Source organism: Homo sapiens, chromosome 2, assembly GCF_000001405.40.
Source record: "Homo sapiens chromosome 2, GRCh38.p14 Primary Assembly".
Lineage (NCBI taxonomy): Eukaryota > Metazoa > Chordata > Mammalia > Primates > Hominidae > Homo > Homo sapiens.
Genome location: NC_000002.12, coordinates 127,582,711 through 127,601,282, shown reverse-complemented (window position 1 = coordinate 127,601,282; position 18,572 = coordinate 127,582,711). Strand labels below are relative to the sequence as shown.

The window sequence follows — 18,572 nt, the reverse complement described above, 5'->3', positions numbered from 1 at the left end:
GTTCTTTCCAAGTGCTCTTAGAATATATACCAAGAGAGGACATATTTTGGGCCATAAAGGAAACTTCAACATACTTAATAGAACTTAATTCATACAGAGTGTGTCTCTTACCATAGTGAAATCAAACTAGAAGTCAAAGACAAAATGATAACAGAAAAATCTCTAAACACTTGAAAACCAAACAACATACTTCTAAATTTCACAGAGGAAATTTCAAGGAAAATTTAATTTTTCTTCTGAGTGAAAGTGAATGAAATTGAATGAACTAAATGAAAGCATAACATGTGAACATTTGTGAAACACAGCTAAAGCAGTGCTAAGACAGAGATTTATATCACTCTACATTAGAAAAGAGGAAAAGCCTTGAATTAATAATCTAATCTCCTGCCTCAAGAATCTAGAGGAAGAAGGGTAAAATACACCCAAGGATATATTTTGGAAGGATGAAAATAATAAAAGAGCAGAAATTAAGGAAATTAAAAATAAAAAATTAGAGAAGAAGTAATGAAACTAAAGCCTGATTCTTTGAAAAGGACAAGAATGTTTTTTGTTTTGTTTTGTTTTGTTTTTTTGAGACAGAGTCTTACTCTTGTTGCCCAGGCTGAAGTGCAATGGCACAATCTTGGCTCACTGCAACCTCCACCTCCCAGGTTCAAGCGATTCTCCTGCCTCAGCCTCCTGAGTAGCTGAGATTACAAGCGCCTGCCACCATACCCAGCTAAATTTTGTATTTTTAGTAGAGACGGGGTTTCGCCATGTTGGCCAGGCTGGTCTCGGACTCCTGACCTCAGGTGATCTGCCTGCCTCGGCCTCCAAAGTGCTGGGATTACAGGTGTGAGCCACCATGCCCGGCCAGGACAAGAAAATTGACAAATCTTTAGCAAGACTGACCAAGAAAAAAAGGGGAAGACATAAATTTCCAATATCAGGAATGACACAGGGGATATCATTACAGAGTCTGCAGATATCAAGAGGATAATAAGGGAATATTATGAACAAATTGACATGCATACATTTGACAACTTAGATAACATGGACTAGTTCCTCAGAAAGCACAAATTACCACAACTCGCTCAATATAAAATAATTTGAATCATTCCTATAACTATTAAATAAATTGAATTTATAATTAAAAACTCTCTATAAAAAAATTCCCAGGCCCAGATATTTTCACTGGAGACTTTTGCCAAACATTTAAAGAAAAATTCACGTCAATTCTACACAATTTCTTCCAGAAAACAGAGGAGGAAACACTTCCTAATTCATTTTATGAAGCTAGTGTTACTCTGATACCAAAACCAGACAAGACAAAAGAAAAAAAATCCTCAGACGTCATGAATATAGACGCAAAAATCCTTAATGAAACATTAACAAATAGCATTCAGCAACATAAAAAAGAATTATACACTATGACCGAGTGGTGTTTCCTCCAGGGATGCAAAGCTGGTTCAATATTTAAAAATCAGTAAACGTAACTCACCACATTGAAAGGCTAAAGAAGAAAAATCACATATCATTATCAACTGATGCAGGAAAAAAATTGACATTCAACACTTGTTCATGATAAAAACTCCCAGAAAACTAGGAATATTGGAAGCTTCCTCGACTTGAGAAAGGGCATCAATGAAAAACCTACAGCTAACATTATATTCAATGGTTAAAGTCTGAGTGTTTTCCCCCTAAGATAAAGGACAAAGCAAATATATCTGTTCTCACCACTCTAACAATACTGGATGTTCTGGCTACTGCAATAGGCAAGAGAAGGAAATAAAAGACATACGGATTGGAAAAAAAAGAAAGAAAACTGTCCCTATTTGCAGAGGACAGGACGATCTACATCCAAAATTCTAAGGAATTTATGAAAAGTGAGCTCAGCAAGGCTGCAGGATATGAAGTCAACACACAAAAATCCAACATATTTCTATTTGCTAGCAATGAATATGCCAATGTCAAAATTAAAAATACAGTACCATTTATAATTCCAAAAAAAACATGTAAATCTAATAAAACATGTACAGGGTTTGTGTGCTAAAAACTACAAAACACGGATGCATGAAATCAAATAAGAGCTAAATAAATGGAGCTACGTATCATGTTTATGGATTGGAAGATGGATTTAGTAGAGATGTTAATTCTCAAATTGCTATACAAGCCTATTACTATCAAAAATCCCAACAAGGTTTTTTTTGTAGATATAGACAAAATTATTTTTATATGTACATGGAAATGCAAAGGAACTACAATAACTAAAACACTTTTGAAGAAGAAAAGTGGGAAGAATTAGTCTACACAGCTTTAAGACTTATTATATAACTATGATAAACAAGATGTTGTGACATTGTGGAGGGATAGAGTCATCGACCAATGGAATGGGATAGAGAACATAGAAACAGACCCACACCGCTAGGTTTTGATAAAGATGTAAAAGCATTTCATTGAAGGAAGGATAGACTTTTTTTTATGAATAATACTGGGGAGACAACCATAGAAAAAAATTTAAAAGAACCTTGACCTAAGTGTCACGCTCTACACAAAAATTAATTCAAAATGGGAATGTATCATGGACCTACATGTAACATATTTAAAACTATAAAAACTTTTAGAAAAACACAAAAGAAAATCTTGACGAAAAGAGTTCTTAGACTTAACACTAAAAGCACGATCTATGAAAGAGAAATTTGACAATTAGACTTTACGAAGATTAAAAACTTTTGCTCTGCAAAGCCCTCTTAAGAGGATGAAGAGACAATCTACAGACTAGGAGAAAATATTCACAAACCACATAGCTGACAGAGGACTAGTATCTAGAATATATAAAGAACTCTCAAAACTCAACAAAGACTCCAATTAGAAAACAGGCAAGCAACATGCACAGACAGGTCACCAAAGAGGGGACACATACATGACAAGCACACACAAAGGTGTTCCACATCGGGAAATGGTAAGGACAGCCACAATGAGAGACCATCACATACCTGTCAGAAGGGCTAAAATAAACAGTGACAACATCAAATACTGGTGAGGATGCACGGACACTGAGTCAGCCAGACATTGCTGGTGGGAATGTAAAATGGTGCAGCCACTCTTGAAAACACTTTGGCAGTTTCTTAAAAAACAAAACTTGTAACCGTTGTATGACTCAGCAACTGCACTCCTGGGCATACAACCCAGAGAAACGGCAACTGATGTTCTCACAAAAACCTCATAAATGTTCATAACAGCTTTATTCATCAAAGCCAAAAACTGGAAACAGCCCAGATGTCCTTCTACAGGTGAATGGTTAAACAAACTGTGGTGTATCCATCCCATAGAATACCACCGAGCAATAAAAAGTAACAAAATACTGGCTGGGCGCAGTGGCTCACACCTGCAATCCCAGCACTTTGAGAGGCTGAGGCGGGCGGATCACTTGAGGCCAGGAGTTTGAGACCAGTTTGGGTAACATGGCGAAACCCCATCTCTACAAAAAATACAATAATTAGCCAGGCATGGTGGCGGGCGCCTGTAGTAGTACCAGCTACTTTGGAGGCTGAGGTGGGAGGATAGCTTGAGCCCGGAAAGCAGAGGTTGCAGTGAGCCAAGATTGTGCCACTGTACTCCAGCCTGGTTGACTGAGTGAGACTTTGTTTCAAATAAATAAATAAATAAATAAATAAATAAATAAATAAATATTAATGCAAGCAATAACCTGGATGAATCTCCAGAGAAACATGCCAAGTGAAAAAAGCCCACCCCAGGCTGCATGTTGTATAATTCCACGTATATAACATTTGTGCAATGGCAACATTCTAGAAATGTAGAACAGGTTAGAGGTTGCTGGGGTTAAGCAGCACTGGGGGCAGGTGTGAGGGAGGGGGCGTGGCTAAACAAGGCCGCAGAAGGAATCCTGGTGGTAAGACGTTCCACTGGGGGAAATGGGTGAAGATTATGGCAATATCTCTGTATTGTTTCTTACAACTGCATGTAAATCTACAGTAATCTCAAAACAAAAAGTTTAATTTAAAATGTTGGGAGTCAGGGTGGCCAGCCTGCCTCGCCTCTGACCACGTGGGCCTGTTTGGTCAGATGCGGCCTGTTGTCCTGAGATCAGCAGCACCAGGGTCTGGCCCTGAGATGGCCTCCGGCTTCCCAGCAGCACAGCTGCCTCTCTAGCTGTGGGCCCTAGCTCCCTGCTCCCTGCCCTGCTCTCTGTCCCCTCATTCTCTATTCCCGGGGCTGGCTGTCTTCTACTTTCTCATGCCTGGGTTTCCAGCCCTTGCTATGGTGGCTCAGGAACCCAGGTGAGGGTGGGGCAAGGCAGCAGCGCTGCTGATCCACTGATCCTGGATTACAACTCTAGCGGTACCCTCTTACTGACCAGGGAACCCAGGCAAGCCATGGATTCTTTCCTGTCCAAAAGCAAATTGCCTCACAACCCAAACCCATACGCTTTGATATAATGGAAGTGGAACGTCAAACCCTGGTTGAGAGCGGGGCTGCCCCTTCATTCGGCTCCCATCTCTTGCATATGGAGTGTTTTTTTGTTTTTTCCAAACATTCCAATAATGTATCTGAATTCTCTGGCCAACATAGGCTGCAGTGTCCCTGGTTGGAAGGCATTGGAAGATCTCAGTAACCCCAGGGAGGGCCCAGCGGGAACATGTGATCCTGGTTTGTGGGCTGCAGGCCTGTGTGGGGACACTGTGGGCAGGAGTAGGCTGGGTGGGCCTTGGGGTGGGGCCGGCACCTGTATCTGTAGCCCCGAAGGACTTTCTGGATGCTGAGCGCCGCTCTGTCTAGCACCTGGCTTCTCTGTACCTCCAGCAGAGTGTCCTGATGATCCTGGAACAGGAGAGACGCCGTCACTGGGCTGCTCACCCTCACCCTACAGCCCCTGCCTGGGGCCAGGGCTCTGTCTCCCGAAGGTAGCATCTCTCAGGCTTCTCCCAGGAGGGCAGGCCAGAGAAGGGGGCCCTCAAAGTGACCTTGATGTTGCTCAGAGACAGGAGCTGCAACTATACCTCCCACCCCAATCCAAGAACTTCCCACATTAGCTCTTTCTTCTTGCTAATTCAATCTGGCATCCTTTATTTCTACTCTGAAGAATTCAAGAGGGGGCACAAAATTTTCCTGAAGTTGTGTTTTATTTCCCAAAATTCATGTGACATTTGCATCCAACCGTGTAAAAGCCCCATGCTTGTTTCAATATAAAAATGTTACCCTCAATAATAGTGGGAGACTTTAACACCTCACTGTCAATATTAGACAGATCATCGAGACAGAAAATTAACAAAGATATTTAGAACTCAGCTCTGGATCAAGTGGACCTGATAGATATCTACAGAACTCTCCACCCCAAAACAACAGAGTATACATTCTTCTCGGCACCACATGCACTTACTCTAAAATTGATCACATAATTGGAAGTAAAACACCCTCAGCAAATGCAAAAGAACGGAAAACATAACAGTCTCTCAGACTACAGTGCAATCAACTTAGAACTCAGGATTAAGAAACTCACTCAAAACCACACGACTACATAGAAATTGAACAACCTGCTCCTGAATGACTCTTGGGTAAAGAATGAGATTAAGGCAGAAATCAAGAAGTTCTTTGAAACCAGTTAGAACAAAGAGACAACATACCAGAAGCTCTGGGACACAGCTAAAGCAGTGTTAAGAGGGAAAGTTATAGCACTAAATGCCCTTATCAGAAAGCTAGAAAGATCTCAAATTGACGCCCTGACATCACAACTAAAATAACTAGAGAATCAAGAGCAAACAAACTTCAAAATTAGCAGAAGACAAGAAGAAACCAAGATCAGAGCAGAACTGAAGGAGATAGAGATACGAAAAACTCTTCAAAAAATCAATGAATCCAGGAGCTGATTTTTTGAAAAAATTAATAAAATAGATAGACCACTACCTAGACTAAAAAAGAAGAAAAGAGAGAAGAATCCAATAGACACAATAAAAAATGATAAAGGGGATATCACTACTGAGCCCACAGAAATACAGACAACCATCAGAGAATAGTATAAAAACCTCTATGCAAATAAACTAGAAAATGTAGAAGAAATGGATGAATTCCTGGACACATACACCCTCCCAAGATTAACCAGGAAAAAGGTGAATCCCTGAATAGATCAGTAACAAGTTCTGAAATTAAGGCAATAATAGCCTACCAATGAAAAAAATCCCAGGACCAGATGGATTTACAGCTGAATTCTACCAGAAGTACAAAGAGGAGTTGATACCCTTTTTTTTGAAACTATTCCAAACAATTGAAAAGCAGGGACTCCTCCCTGACTCATTCTATGAGGCCAGCAGCATCCTGATACCAAAACCTGGCATAGATACAACAAAAGAAGAAAACTTCAGGCCAATATTCCTGATGAACATCGATGCAAAAATTCTGAATAAAATACTGGCAAACTGAATACAGCAGCACATCAAAAAGCTTATCCACTACGATCAAGTTGGCTTCATCCCCAGGATGCAAGACTGGTTCAACATATGCAAATCAATACACGTAATTCACCACATAAACAAATCTAAAGACAAAAACCACATGATTATCTCAATAGATGCAGAAAAGGCCTTTGATGAAATTCAACATTGCTTTATGTTAAAAAAAACTCTCAATAAACTAGGTATTGAAGGAACATGCCTCAAAATAATAAGAGCCATTTATGACAAACCCACAGTGCACTGAGATGGTCCCTCTGCTGGCCTTGCCTCCCCCACTAAATTGGAAGCCACTCTGCTTCTTCCCGCGCATCTTAGCCTCTGAGACCCAGAACAGCCTGACTACTGCACAGCCAAATGGACAGACAGACCGACTCGAGGGCTGGGGCCAGGACGTCCCTCTGAGGACACATAAGGGCAGGTGGGCAGGCACTATGGGGGAAGAGGAAGGGGCAGCAGGGATGGGTGGGAGCTCAGGCAAGCTGGCAAAGCATCCTCCCAGCTCTGCTCCCAGTTATTCCTCTTCCCTCTCACTGTGCTGGCCCGCTGAGGCTTATGAGACTAGGGGACAGGAAGGTTCCCTCCTCAGTGGCTCTGACCCAAATGGCACTTCTGGAGGGCCCCGAAGCTTCCTTTGTGTGACTTCAGCTCCCTGTGCATTTTGGGGGAGGCAGGTTGTGGTGGTGAGGCTCGCACAAGCCCCGCTAAGGACAAGTCGCTTTGTGGAGAGTTGACACACAGCACCCTTCCACTAAAGCAGTAGCCCTCCGGGCTCTGCAGAGGCTGGGCCTCCCCAGTGTAGGGAAGCCTGCATGGCAGGATGTGGCTCCCAGCATGATGGAGGCCAGGTCTCAGGACACCGGCAGACCGCCCTGAGCTCCTGGGTGCTGCCCTGTGGCTGGAAGGCGCCTCCTCTGCACCCTCAGGCCTTGCCCTAGGTACCCCTCTGAGAAGCCTCCTGGGCTTCCACAGGCTGGGCTGGCCCTCCCCAGTACCCTCACCACCACCTCATTGTCCCCTAGCGTGATGTTCTACATCCAGGGGTGCCCTGAGGGTGGGGACCACACTTTGAGCTGCTGCCCAGTGTCATTGGCTCAGGGCACATGGACCATGGACCCCGGGCCTGGTGCAAGAGCTGACAAGCCCACATGCTGCAGGAGGCCGACAGCTGGCTGGTTCCTCGGGGTCTCACCCTCAGGAAAATTTTTGTCTTCCCCGCTTTCCAGTCTTTGTCTGTCCGCAGCCACACGTCAGTGATGCCCAGGGTCATCTGGCGGAGCTTGCCTTGCAGCTGCCAAGACCAAACGGGGGTATCGGTGGGAGGTGGGGCAGAGACCCCTCGGCGGCTCTCTGGGGGTGGTGTCTCCCTCCTTCTCCCACAGGCTCCCCCATCAGGGGCTGCCGCCCACCCCCGCCCAGGCACAGGCACAACGGGAACCTCGAATAGGGGTTGGGGTGAGGAGGGAACTCGGGGCCCGGGGCCTCCATGTGCTGTGGGACTCGGCCCAGGCCAGGCCCAGCCTCAGGATGGCTGAGGGTTCCAGACAGGACAGGAAGAACCTCGGGCCCCAGTAGCTTTCTAGCCACACCTCGGCTCCCTGACGCGGTAGGAGAGAACGTGTCTGCTGTACAACTACAGACATGTTCCAGAAGGAACCGCTGCGGCCGCCAGCTCTCCCAGACCCCAGGGAAAGCCCCCTCACTTCCGCGGCGCTGGGAGAGGGAGAGGGTAGGGTGGGAGGAGGAGAGAGGGAGGAAGGACAGGGCTCATCGCAAGGCTGGGGCCGGGGAGGGCAGCGGGAGACCCCCTCGGTACTGGGGGCTGGAGGTGCCAAGGCCGAGGGGAAGGCCGCGGATGGCCAGAGGTGACCGTCCCCGAGGGGCGCTGACCTGCATCCGCATGGCGTTGGGCAGCAACACGCCGAACCTCTGCGAGAACTCCTCGAACGTGTAGCGGATGGGGAAGCCCGACTTGCGGATGTGCACGGTCTCCATCATGCCCGAGTATCGCAGCTGCCGCAGGCACAGCTCCCGGTCGAACAGCTGTGGGCGGACACCGGGCGCTGACCCAGCGCAAGCCCCACTTTCCAGCCACCCCCCTTCCCGGCACCCCACCACCGGGCACGGGCCCACAGCCAGAGGTCAGTGTGTCCAGCCCCCCGCCCCGCCCACCCCCACTGTCCTCCAGAGATGGAAGAACTAAACAAATGCGACTTCAGTAAGGCTACATTTTGAAGAGAGTAGTGCAAGTAGTTGAAAAACCCGTAATGTTGTCAAGGAGATAAAAGTCGATAGCATGGAAACTGTGGCACCCACAGAAACACAGCACTCCCATCACTGTCAACTACTCGAAGCGCTGTGAATGTAAACGTCCTCTGCACATGCCCAGTTTAAAATGCTTTTTTTAAAAAAATTTTTTAAATTTTATTTATTTATTTTTTTGAGATGGAGTCTCGTTCTGTCGCTCAGGCTGGAGTGCAGTGGCACGATCTCTGCTCACTGCAACCTCTGCCTCCTGGGTGCAAGCGATTCTCCTGCCTCAGCCTCCCGAGTAGCTGGGATTACAGGCGTGTAGCACCACGCCCGGGTAAGTTTTGTATTTTTAGTTAAAGACGGAGTTTCACCATGTTGGCCAGGCTGGTCTCCAACTCCTGAGCTCAAATGATCCGCCCGCCTTGGCGTCCCAGAGTGCTGGGATTACAGGCCTGAGCCACCGCGCCTGGCCCAGTTTAAAATGTTTTTAAGCGCCCCTTGCCTACATAGGTCGGGGTGGAAAGCTGCCCCGCAGGCACTTGCAGTTTCATGGTGCCTCCCTCACAATAGTTAAATGAAAAAATAAATCTACTCAGAGGCAGAAAATATCCTAATCAACTTAGTCTCTCCCTCCCTGGAGATGGAGGTCAGAGTGAGACCTGGAGTGGCTGGGGCGGAGGAGTGGAGGGCCTTTGGCCCCAGGGAGCTGAGCCGTCTTTTGCTTTGAGGCGAGTGTGACTGGCAGAGAAATGGCATGATGTCCTTCCCTGGGGTGTCAGGCTTCAGCAGGGGTTCCAAGACTCTGCCATGGCTTGGATTCTAGAGAGCCCCTCTCCACCTACAAGCCAGGAGTCTCTGAGGGACCCTGGGGAACGCCCTCTGATGTGGCAAACCCACCAGCAGGCACTGTTACCCCACCTGCAGGGTCACAGCGCCAACTGCTGGTGGGGTCCAGGCCACACTGAGCTTAGCCTCGGGTAAGTGTTTAGCTGCGCTTCACTGACGATTTCCTATGGGCCTGGTGTTTCTCACTGAATCTTTACAACATTCCTACCTGGTGGGGGTGATTGGCTCCAACTTAAAGATGAGGTGCTGAGGCATAGGGTTTTGCTTCTAAGGGGCTGAGCCTGGGTTTGAACCCTGAGCAGCCACCAATGAGAGATATCCCAGCCAGAGGCACTCTTAACCCCCGAGCTTCAGCCTCAGGCCTGCCTGCCTGTCCTGCAACTCCCAGCTCCCAAGGTAGGCAGGGTCTGAACGAGCCAAGGGTCTCTGGGAGCCCAGCTACTTCTCCCAGCAGTTAAGGAACAAGATAGGTTATCTCACATCTGCCTATTTTGCCTTCAAGGAAGATGCAACCTAGATTTCATAAGGCAAGCCTCATTTTATTTTTTTAGAGACAGGTCTTGCTCTGTCACCCAGGCTGAAGTGCAGTGGTGTGATCATAGTTCACTGCAGCCTTGACCTCCTGGGCTCAAGTGATCCTCCTCCCTCAGCCTCCTGAGTAGCTGAGACTACAGGCACATACCACCATACCTAGCTAATTTTTATACTTTTAAATTTTTTTGCAGAGATAAGGTCTTACTATGTTGCCCAGGCTTGCCTCAAGCAATCCTCCCGCCTCAGCCTCCCAAAGTGCTGGGATTACAAGCGTGAGCTACTGCACCCAGATCAAACTCGATTTCACATAGTTTTATTCTTTCCAAAAAGCATTTAATTTCATGTAATATTTTTATTCCCTTATGGGGATAAAACCATTTTATATTGTTTCAGCTGATGTCTCCTAGTTTGGGGAATCCCTGCATATGCGGCCTCTGGGTGGGACTCCCCACCCAATGGAGCAGGGACTCCGTTGTGGGCAGGGAGTGTGGGCTCTCACCCCCTCACCGTCTCACAGCAGGTAAAGCTGACTGTCTGCAGGGCTGGTGAAAGGAGTGGTGTCAGCCTCTAAAGTCCTATTACTGATTTCTGCCTTTGTTGAGTGTGGTTTACATATGGGACATGTACTGCAAACCTCATGTCCAACCCTCAGTGCATTCCTGCAGGCAGGAGCAAGTCTGACTTAACAGAAGGGAAAACTGAGGCTCACAGCAGCAAAGAGCCAGGCCAAGAACGCACAGAAGATGCATGGCGGAGCTAAGGGAACTGAGGTCTCAGCAACCCAAAGCTCTGCAGGTCACTGACCTTCACATGACCTAGTCTGGTCACCTTACCCCAGTGTACTTATCTGTAAGGTAGGGGCAGTAACAGCTCTAACGCTAGCCAGGCCCTGGCAGAGGGAGTGACCACAACCCTAGAGGCCATCAGCCTCCTCCTCCTCCCTCCTTTGCTGTGCCCCAGCCTCCTGTCATTACCAGCGGCTTCTTGTACTCATTAGGTTTGATGCAGCGGATGAAGTAAGGCTGGCAGTTGGTCAGGATTTTCATCAGCTGGTCCAGAGACTGTTTGAACTGGCTTCCTAAGGTGGAGGGCCGTTTATTTGAGTCTGCAGACTGTGAATGGAAGCACAGAGCACAAGTGGGTCTCAGGAGCCATGTCCTGGGACAGCTGACCCTGTAGGCCAGCAAGGGTTGCGGCCAAGGCCCCACAGGTGGGGTGGTGCATCTACCTATTCAAGAATCCACCCACCCACCCATCCATGTATCCATCCACCCACTCACCCATCCACCCACCCCTTCACCCATCCACTCACACACCTATCCATCCACCCACCCACCCATCCACCCGCCCACCACCCATCCACCCACTCACCCATCCTTCCACCTACCCAGCACCCATCCACCCACCCACCCATGCGTCCATCCATTCACCCACCCACCCACCCATCCATCCTTCCATCCACTCACCAACCCACATAGCCACCCGCCCATCCATCTATCCATCCACCCTCTCACCCATCCACCCACCCACCCATCCACCCACCCATTCACCCATCCATTCACCCATGCACCCACTCATCCATCCACCCACGCACCACCCATCCACCCACTCACCCATCCATCCACCTACTCACCACCCATCCACCCACTCACCCATCCACCCATGGCCCCACTAAGGCCATGCTCTCCACCCCTCTACCCAGGCGTGGCCCCCACCATCTACCCAGCACAAAGTCACTTCTCCTATCTAAACTCTGGACCCCCCAGATTCCCATTCCCACTCCAAACCCCCTTATATAAGCTGCCACATGCACCCACCCATGCACCCATTCATTCACCATTCCACCCACCCATCCATCCATCCACTCACCCATCCACACAGCCACCCACCCATCCATCTATCCATCCACCCACCCACCCATCCACCCACCCATCCATCCACTCACCCACCCACACAGCCACCTGCCCGTCCATCTATCCATCCACCCACTCACCCATCCACCCATCCATTCACCCATCCACCCACCCACCCGTCCATCCACTCACCCATCCACACAGCCACCCACCCATCCATCTATCCATTCACCCACTCACCCATCCACCCAACCATCGACACACCCATTCACCCATCCACTTACATACCCATCCACCCATCCACTCACCCACCCATCCATCCACCCACCCACCACCCATCCACTCACTCACCCATCCATCCACCCATCCACTACCCATCCACCCACTCACCCATCTATCCACCCAACCACCCATTCACCCGTCCATCCACTCACCCATCCATCCACTCATCCATCCATCCATCCAACCAACCAACCACACATCCATTTACCCATCCACCCTCACACACCCATCCACCCATCCACTCACCCACCCATCCATCCACCCACCCATCCATCCACCCACCCACCACCCATCCATCCACTCACCCATCCACCCACCCACTACCCATCCACCCACTCACCCATCTATCCACCCACCCATCCATTCACCCATCCATCCATCCATTGCAGGATTCCCAAGTGCCAACTGCATGCTGTGGACCCAGAGGTGAGTAAAACAGTCTTTCCTGTACATGTCTGTCTGGCCCTGTAGCCATCAGGGGTGACAGACCCAGGAGGGTGCCTGGGAGCCCACCTTGAAGAGATGGTTTCCTGCCTTTGCCTGGCGGATGGTCCCATGGCCCAGCTTGGTCTCTGCTAACTCCAAGTTGAATATCTCCCTCAGAAACTTGTTTTTGGAGGAGTAAACCAGGGTGAGGATATCTGTGCTCAGCACGTCTCGGTTCTTCTCCAGGAAGCCTGTGGAGACACAGGGCCCACCCAGCATCCCAGCTTAGCCATCACTGCCCACCCATGGGGAAGAAGAGGGCAGTGTGGGGGAATACAGGATGCGTGGAGGAGCCCCCTCCTACAATGGCCCCACTACGGCCATGCTCTCCACCCCTCTACCCAGGCATGGCCCCCACCATCTACCCAGCACAAAGTCACTTCTCCTGTCTAAACTCTGGACCCCCCCTAATTCCCATTCCCACTCCAAACCCCCTTATATAAGCTGCCACATCCTCCTGCCTCTGGGCAGATCCTACTAGGGCTAAGGCTCCTTCAGACTAAAAACAGATGCAGCCTCCAGAAATAGGAGAGGGGCAGTGTCATGGGCTAAAATGTGTCCCCTAAAATTCATATGTTGGTGTCCTAACACCCTATACATCAGAACATGACTGTGTGTGGACATAGGGCCTTTAAGGAGGGGATTAAAGTAAAATGAGGTCATTAGGATGGGCCCTAATCCAGTGTAACTAGTGTCATTATAAGAAGGGGAGATGAGGCTGGGTGTGGTGGCTCACACCTGTAATCCCAGCACTTTGGGAGGCTGAGGCAGGTGGATCACAAGGTCAGGAGTTCGAGACCAGCCTGACCAACATGGTGAAACCCTGTCTCTACTAAAAATACAAAAGTTAGCCAGGCATGGTGGCATGTGCCTGTAATCCCAGCTACTCAGGAGCCTGAGGCAGGAGAATCGCTTGAAGCCCGGAGGCAGAGGTTGCAGTGAGCTGAGATCACACTATTGCACTCCAGCTTGGGTGACACAGTGAGACTCTGTCTCAAAAAAAAAAAAAAAAAAGAAAGAAAGAAAGAAGGGGAGATGAGGACACAGACACACACAGAGAGAAGGAAGGCCATATGAGGACACAGAGAGAAGACGGCCATCTGCATACAAAGGAGAGAGGCCTCAGAAGGGATCAAACCTGCCAGCACCTTGATCTTGGACTTCCAGCCTCTAGAACTCTGAGACAATCATTTCTGTTGTTTAAGCCACTCAGTCTGTGGTGTTTGTTACTGCTGCCCTAGTGCCTAATACAGGCATGGCTCCAGCGGGTGAGAAGATCCCATGTCTCCCCTCCGGCCATGAGTAAGAATGGCCTAGCCCTGCAGTAGGGACAGAACCACACTGAGAAGGCACTGAAGATGAGCTGCTCCTCAAAGCCAGGCTCCATGAGGCCAGGGGCTGCACTGCTTGGTCTCTAAGGACGAACTCCCAAGGGCACGACCCTGACTTTCCTCTTTCACTTTCCTCCCCTTAAGTCACTCCAGCTTTTAGTGGTATGCTCTGTGCACACCTGCACAGCCTGCTGTGGATCTGGGGAGGAAGAGTCAAGAGTGGGAGAGGGAAGGGAGTCTGTTTCCCACCTCTTCCTGCAGGTGTCTGTGAGGGGAGCAGCACCAGGGGGGCTGCACTGGGTGCTGGGCAGGGGGTGGACACTCGGTGACACCTTGCACCCCTGAGGCTCAGGCAGAGCTCCCCACCAGGGGCAGGGAGCTCCCTGGATGTTTTAAGGGTGGGGAGGGTTGAGACACTCCTGGGTTCAGTCTCCCAACAGGCAGAGTAAGTAAAGCTGAGGTCATCAGCACAGCATGGTATCCAAAATAAAAAGAAGGCTTAGTTTTAATTAATATTTCTGCAACCAGAAAGTCTAGAAAGAATCGACCTTAATCTTAGCATTATGTAAGTTTCCTATCATTTCAAAAAATAAAACTCAGCCTTGAATTGCCCCATGGAGGATGGGCTCGGTATCTTCTTTGCGTCCCAGGACCCTGCAGGTCCGACTGGCTCCAGCCTCTCCCTTTTCCAAGAGCCCAAAGCCAGGATGTGGCAGGAACTATGAAGGAGCCACGGCACCTTTCCCTTTCTCCCTTGGCCTCCCAAAGCCTAGCCTGTTCTGACTAAATGATCACCCTCTACTCAAAAGAATCATCCCTGGATTCCTGTCTCCAGTTAAATAGACCAGAACACCTCCTCATTCCTCCACATGAGGGGCAGAGAGTGACCCTCTGGCCGCCCTGCTTTCCTGACCACAGCAGCCCACGGCCACCTTCCTCGTTTTTCTTGGCACACCCATAGGGTGACCACCCCAGGCCTTCACTTCTTCAGTCAAAACCATTACCGATCCTCTCTCAACATATCCCAAAATTAACTCAAAATGGGTCAAAGACCTAACGTAAAAACTAACACTAAAAAAATCTTAGAAGAAAACATAGGGATAAATCTTCATGACTTTGTATTTGACCCTGGACTCTTAGATATGACACAAGCAAAGAAAGGAAAATAGATAAGTTGGACTTCTTCAAAATGAAAGCTTTTTGGGCCTCAAAGGACACCGTCAAGCAGATGAAAAGACAATCCACAGAATGAGAAAAAAATTTAAAATCACCTATTAGGTACTTGTATCCAGAATATATAAAGAAGTCTTACAACTCGACAATGAAAAGACAACCCAGTGAAAACACAGGCAGAGCATTTAAATAGACATCCCTCCAAAGAAGACGTGCAAATGGCCAAGAAGCATATGAAAAGGCGATCAACATCATTAGCCATCGGGGGATGCAGATGCAAATCACATTGAGACTTCAAACCCACTAGGGTAGCTATAATAACAAAGACAGACAATCACATGTGTAGGCAAGGATGTGGAGGAACTGGAGTCCTCATACATTGCTAGTGGGAATGTAAAATCATACAGCCGCTTTGGAAAACAGTCTGGTGGTTCCTCAAACAGTTAAACATAGAGTTATCATATGACACAGCAATTCTGCTGCTAGGTAGATACCCAGGGGAAATGAAAACATATGCCCACACAAACACTTGTACATGGGTGTTCATAGCTGTGTTATTCATAATAGGCAAAAAGTGGAAAAAACCCAAATGTCCGCCAACTGATGACGAGATAAACATTCCAGATAATGGAATGTTTTTCTGCAATAAAAAGACATGGAGCACTGACACGTACTACAACATAGATGAACCTTGAAAACATGATGCTAAGTGAAAGAAACCAGCCACAGAAGACCACGTATTATATGGTTCCATTTATGCAAAAAGTCAGAATAGGCAAATCCATAGAGACAGAAATTAATTGTTGCCCAGGGCTGGGGGGAAATGGGAGTGGTTGCTCATGAGGGGTTTCTTTTAGGGGTGGCGAAAAAGTTCTAAAATTGTGGCAATCATTAATATACTCTGAATATATTACAGTCAAGTCGTACACTTAAAATAGGTAAATAACATGGTATGTGAATTATGTCTCAACAGAGTTATTACCAGAAACAAAACAAAACATGCCCGGTCCACTCCATTTTCTTTCTCCAGTAGAAGCCATACTACTCATCCCTCTGCCCCATTGCTAGAGCTGCAAAATAGCCTCATCCTCTGAGCCTGCTTTCCACGGTCTCCCTGGAACCCGGTCCAGATTTGGAAGGGACATGAGAGGAGAGCTGCACCCACCTTCTGCTTGGTAGTACACCTCGCCGGCAAAATGGGCAATGCCAAATCTGGCATCGTGGATGTTCTTGGGCTGTAGGAAGGCCTTGTTGTTGGCATGGACGCTGTTCAGCTTTTGCAGCATGGTGAGATCTGTCCCCTGGAAGAACCCAGACACCCTGTGGGCTGAGGTCCCAGAGTCCAGCCATGGGGAGGTGAGGCTCAGGGACTTCCTCATGGAGGCAAAGAGATCTGGGCTCAGAATGATTGAGGGCCTTTGTACAGACAGGAAACTAATGCCCAGGGGTCAGTGACTTGTTGCAGGGAGTGAGGGCTGAGCTGGGAGCAGAGGCCGGGTCTGCCGCCCTCCACCACCAGCTCTTCTGCTCCACCCTCTGAACTACTGTCTGAGGACCCCAGCAGTCAGAGAAGTGGGCCTTGGAGAGGAGGGTCTGTCTGGTTAGACTGAGGCTCTTCTGCTTATTCCTGGCAGAGGTTTTAGTGACTCTCAGAACAAGTGGCCCACCCAAATGGAGTTTCCCAGCCTCCAAGAGGAGACCCATAGCAGGGCCTCCACCAGAAGGTCGGCAGGCCCGAACACACACCTGCGGGAAGCGGCTTTCTTCGTCCAGGAGGGAGATGATGCTCATGGGCTTGAGGGCCAGCAGGTCCAGGGTGGGCCGATTGTCGGTGTAGTGGATATAGTCCCAGGAGATGTTCTCCGAGCGGTACTCCTCTTGCTCCATGGTGAACACGTGCTGCACAAAGAACTGCTGCAGGTGCTCGTTGGCGAAGTTGATGCAGAGCTGCTCGAAGCTGTGGAGGCAAGGTCACTGCCCAGGGGTGGAGTGGGGCCAGCTGAGTCCCCGCTGCAGCAGGCTGGAGCCATAGGATCACCAGCCATCTGCAAACAGCTGCATACAGATATGCCCACAGATGCACACCTCGTGTACACAGAGATGCACACTCATTCCTGCACACTCTCTCTCCTCTGTCTGCCTCCATCACTGTCACCTTCTCCACCCCACGTCAAAAAGACAAAGAAACGAGGAGGCTCAGCATATCATCAAGTCCTCGCCTTCAGCTTCTCACAGCCCCCTGCCGGGTCCTCTACCAGGCCTGCCCACCTGACACTGAAACAATTCTTGTGGTCTGAGTGCACACCAGCAGCCCTACCCGTGAGCCTTGGTATTGAGACAAGCTTCCAGAGACCCAGCATTGACTGCTGGGCCCCTCTGCATCAACCAGGCATACGCCCTACTGCCCCTGTTCCCAGAACTCCAACCTGCACTTCCTCCTGCATTCCCTGCCTTGGGAAATGGCCCCTCCACCTACCACCCCCGGCTCAAGTCAGAAACCGAGGAGTTTCTGTCTCTGTCCCTCCTCTCCAGTTCCCATCAGTTGCCAAAGTCTGGCCCATGCTGTCTCCAATACCTGTCCCTCCCAGGGCCAGACGCCAATAATCGGAATCACACTTGAGCTCTCTATGCCTTAGAGAGTGCATTGGGCTAAGTTCTGCCAGCCCTGCCTCTCCCACCTGACTGCAGTGAGCAGGCACCTGCCCTGCACCCCCGGCTGGCCCTGGGAGGGCTGAGATCCCAGCGTGCTTGCGTGTGGAATGGCTTGTGTCTTGACAATCCTGGCTGTCCAAGGGGGGCCCTTCTAAATCACTCTCAGATCAGACAGGCCTTGGGCAGGGGCATGCAAGGTCAGGCTAGCCCCCTGGCTCCTCAGACAGGGCCCAGAGGAGCTCTGCTTCCTGGAGCCAGTGGTCCGGTCTCTGTCCCATCAAGCCCTTTCAGTGAGCTGGCTCAGGTAAGCTAAATTGCAAAGCTAGTGTTGTCAGCCTGCTTGTACCAGTCGTCATGGGACTCCTCTTGCTGGTGATAGTGCCCCTGAGCATCACCTGGCCTGGCCTGGCTCCGTTGCCTGGTCCCCTCACCACCTTTGTCTATCCGACCCCCAGCCTTCATCACAGTCATAGCTTGCAGCTATTTTCTGACCTGCCTCCTGGTTACAGCTCTCCAGCTTCTAGTCTGGGGTGCCAGAACACTGGGATGCCCGGTCAGAGGAGTCCTGCTGTGCCTTACCCCACAAACTAAAAAATCAGGGATGGTCTGCAAATGCTTCTAGCTTCCCCCACTACCTAAAATGATAAACCAGCCAGATGCAGATGAATCCATGTTATTGATTTCTGTTTCAACCCTGACCTCGTGTGATAATCCAC

At 49.1% G+C, this 18,572-nt stretch overlaps 1 protein-coding gene across 10 annotated transcripts in view; it reads right to left on the bottom strand.

Moving 5' to 3' along the window:
* Positions 1-18,572, bottom strand: part of MYO7B (myosin VIIB) — a 102,044-nt gene that overhangs the window by 36,444 nt on the left and 47,028 nt on the right. For all 10 annotated transcript variants that reach the window (XR_001738748.2, XM_047444437.1, XM_011511218.3 and 7 more), the window contains 7 exons: positions 16,951-17,161; positions 16,370-16,505; positions 12,728-12,891; positions 11,054-11,191; positions 8,337-8,489; positions 7,639-7,737; positions 4,727-4,821 (listed from right to left, as the gene is read on the bottom strand). Coding sequence is in view for 9 of the 10 variants with exons in the window: in XM_047444437.1 (XP_047300393.1) it covers positions 4,727-4,821; positions 7,639-7,737; positions 8,337-8,489; positions 11,054-11,191; positions 12,728-12,891; positions 16,370-16,505; positions 16,951-17,161 (996 nt within the window). In the remaining variant the exon portion in view is untranslated. The remainder of the gene's footprint in view (positions 1-4,726; positions 4,822-7,638; positions 7,738-8,336; positions 8,490-11,053; positions 11,192-12,727; positions 12,892-16,369; positions 16,506-16,950; positions 17,162-18,572) is intronic.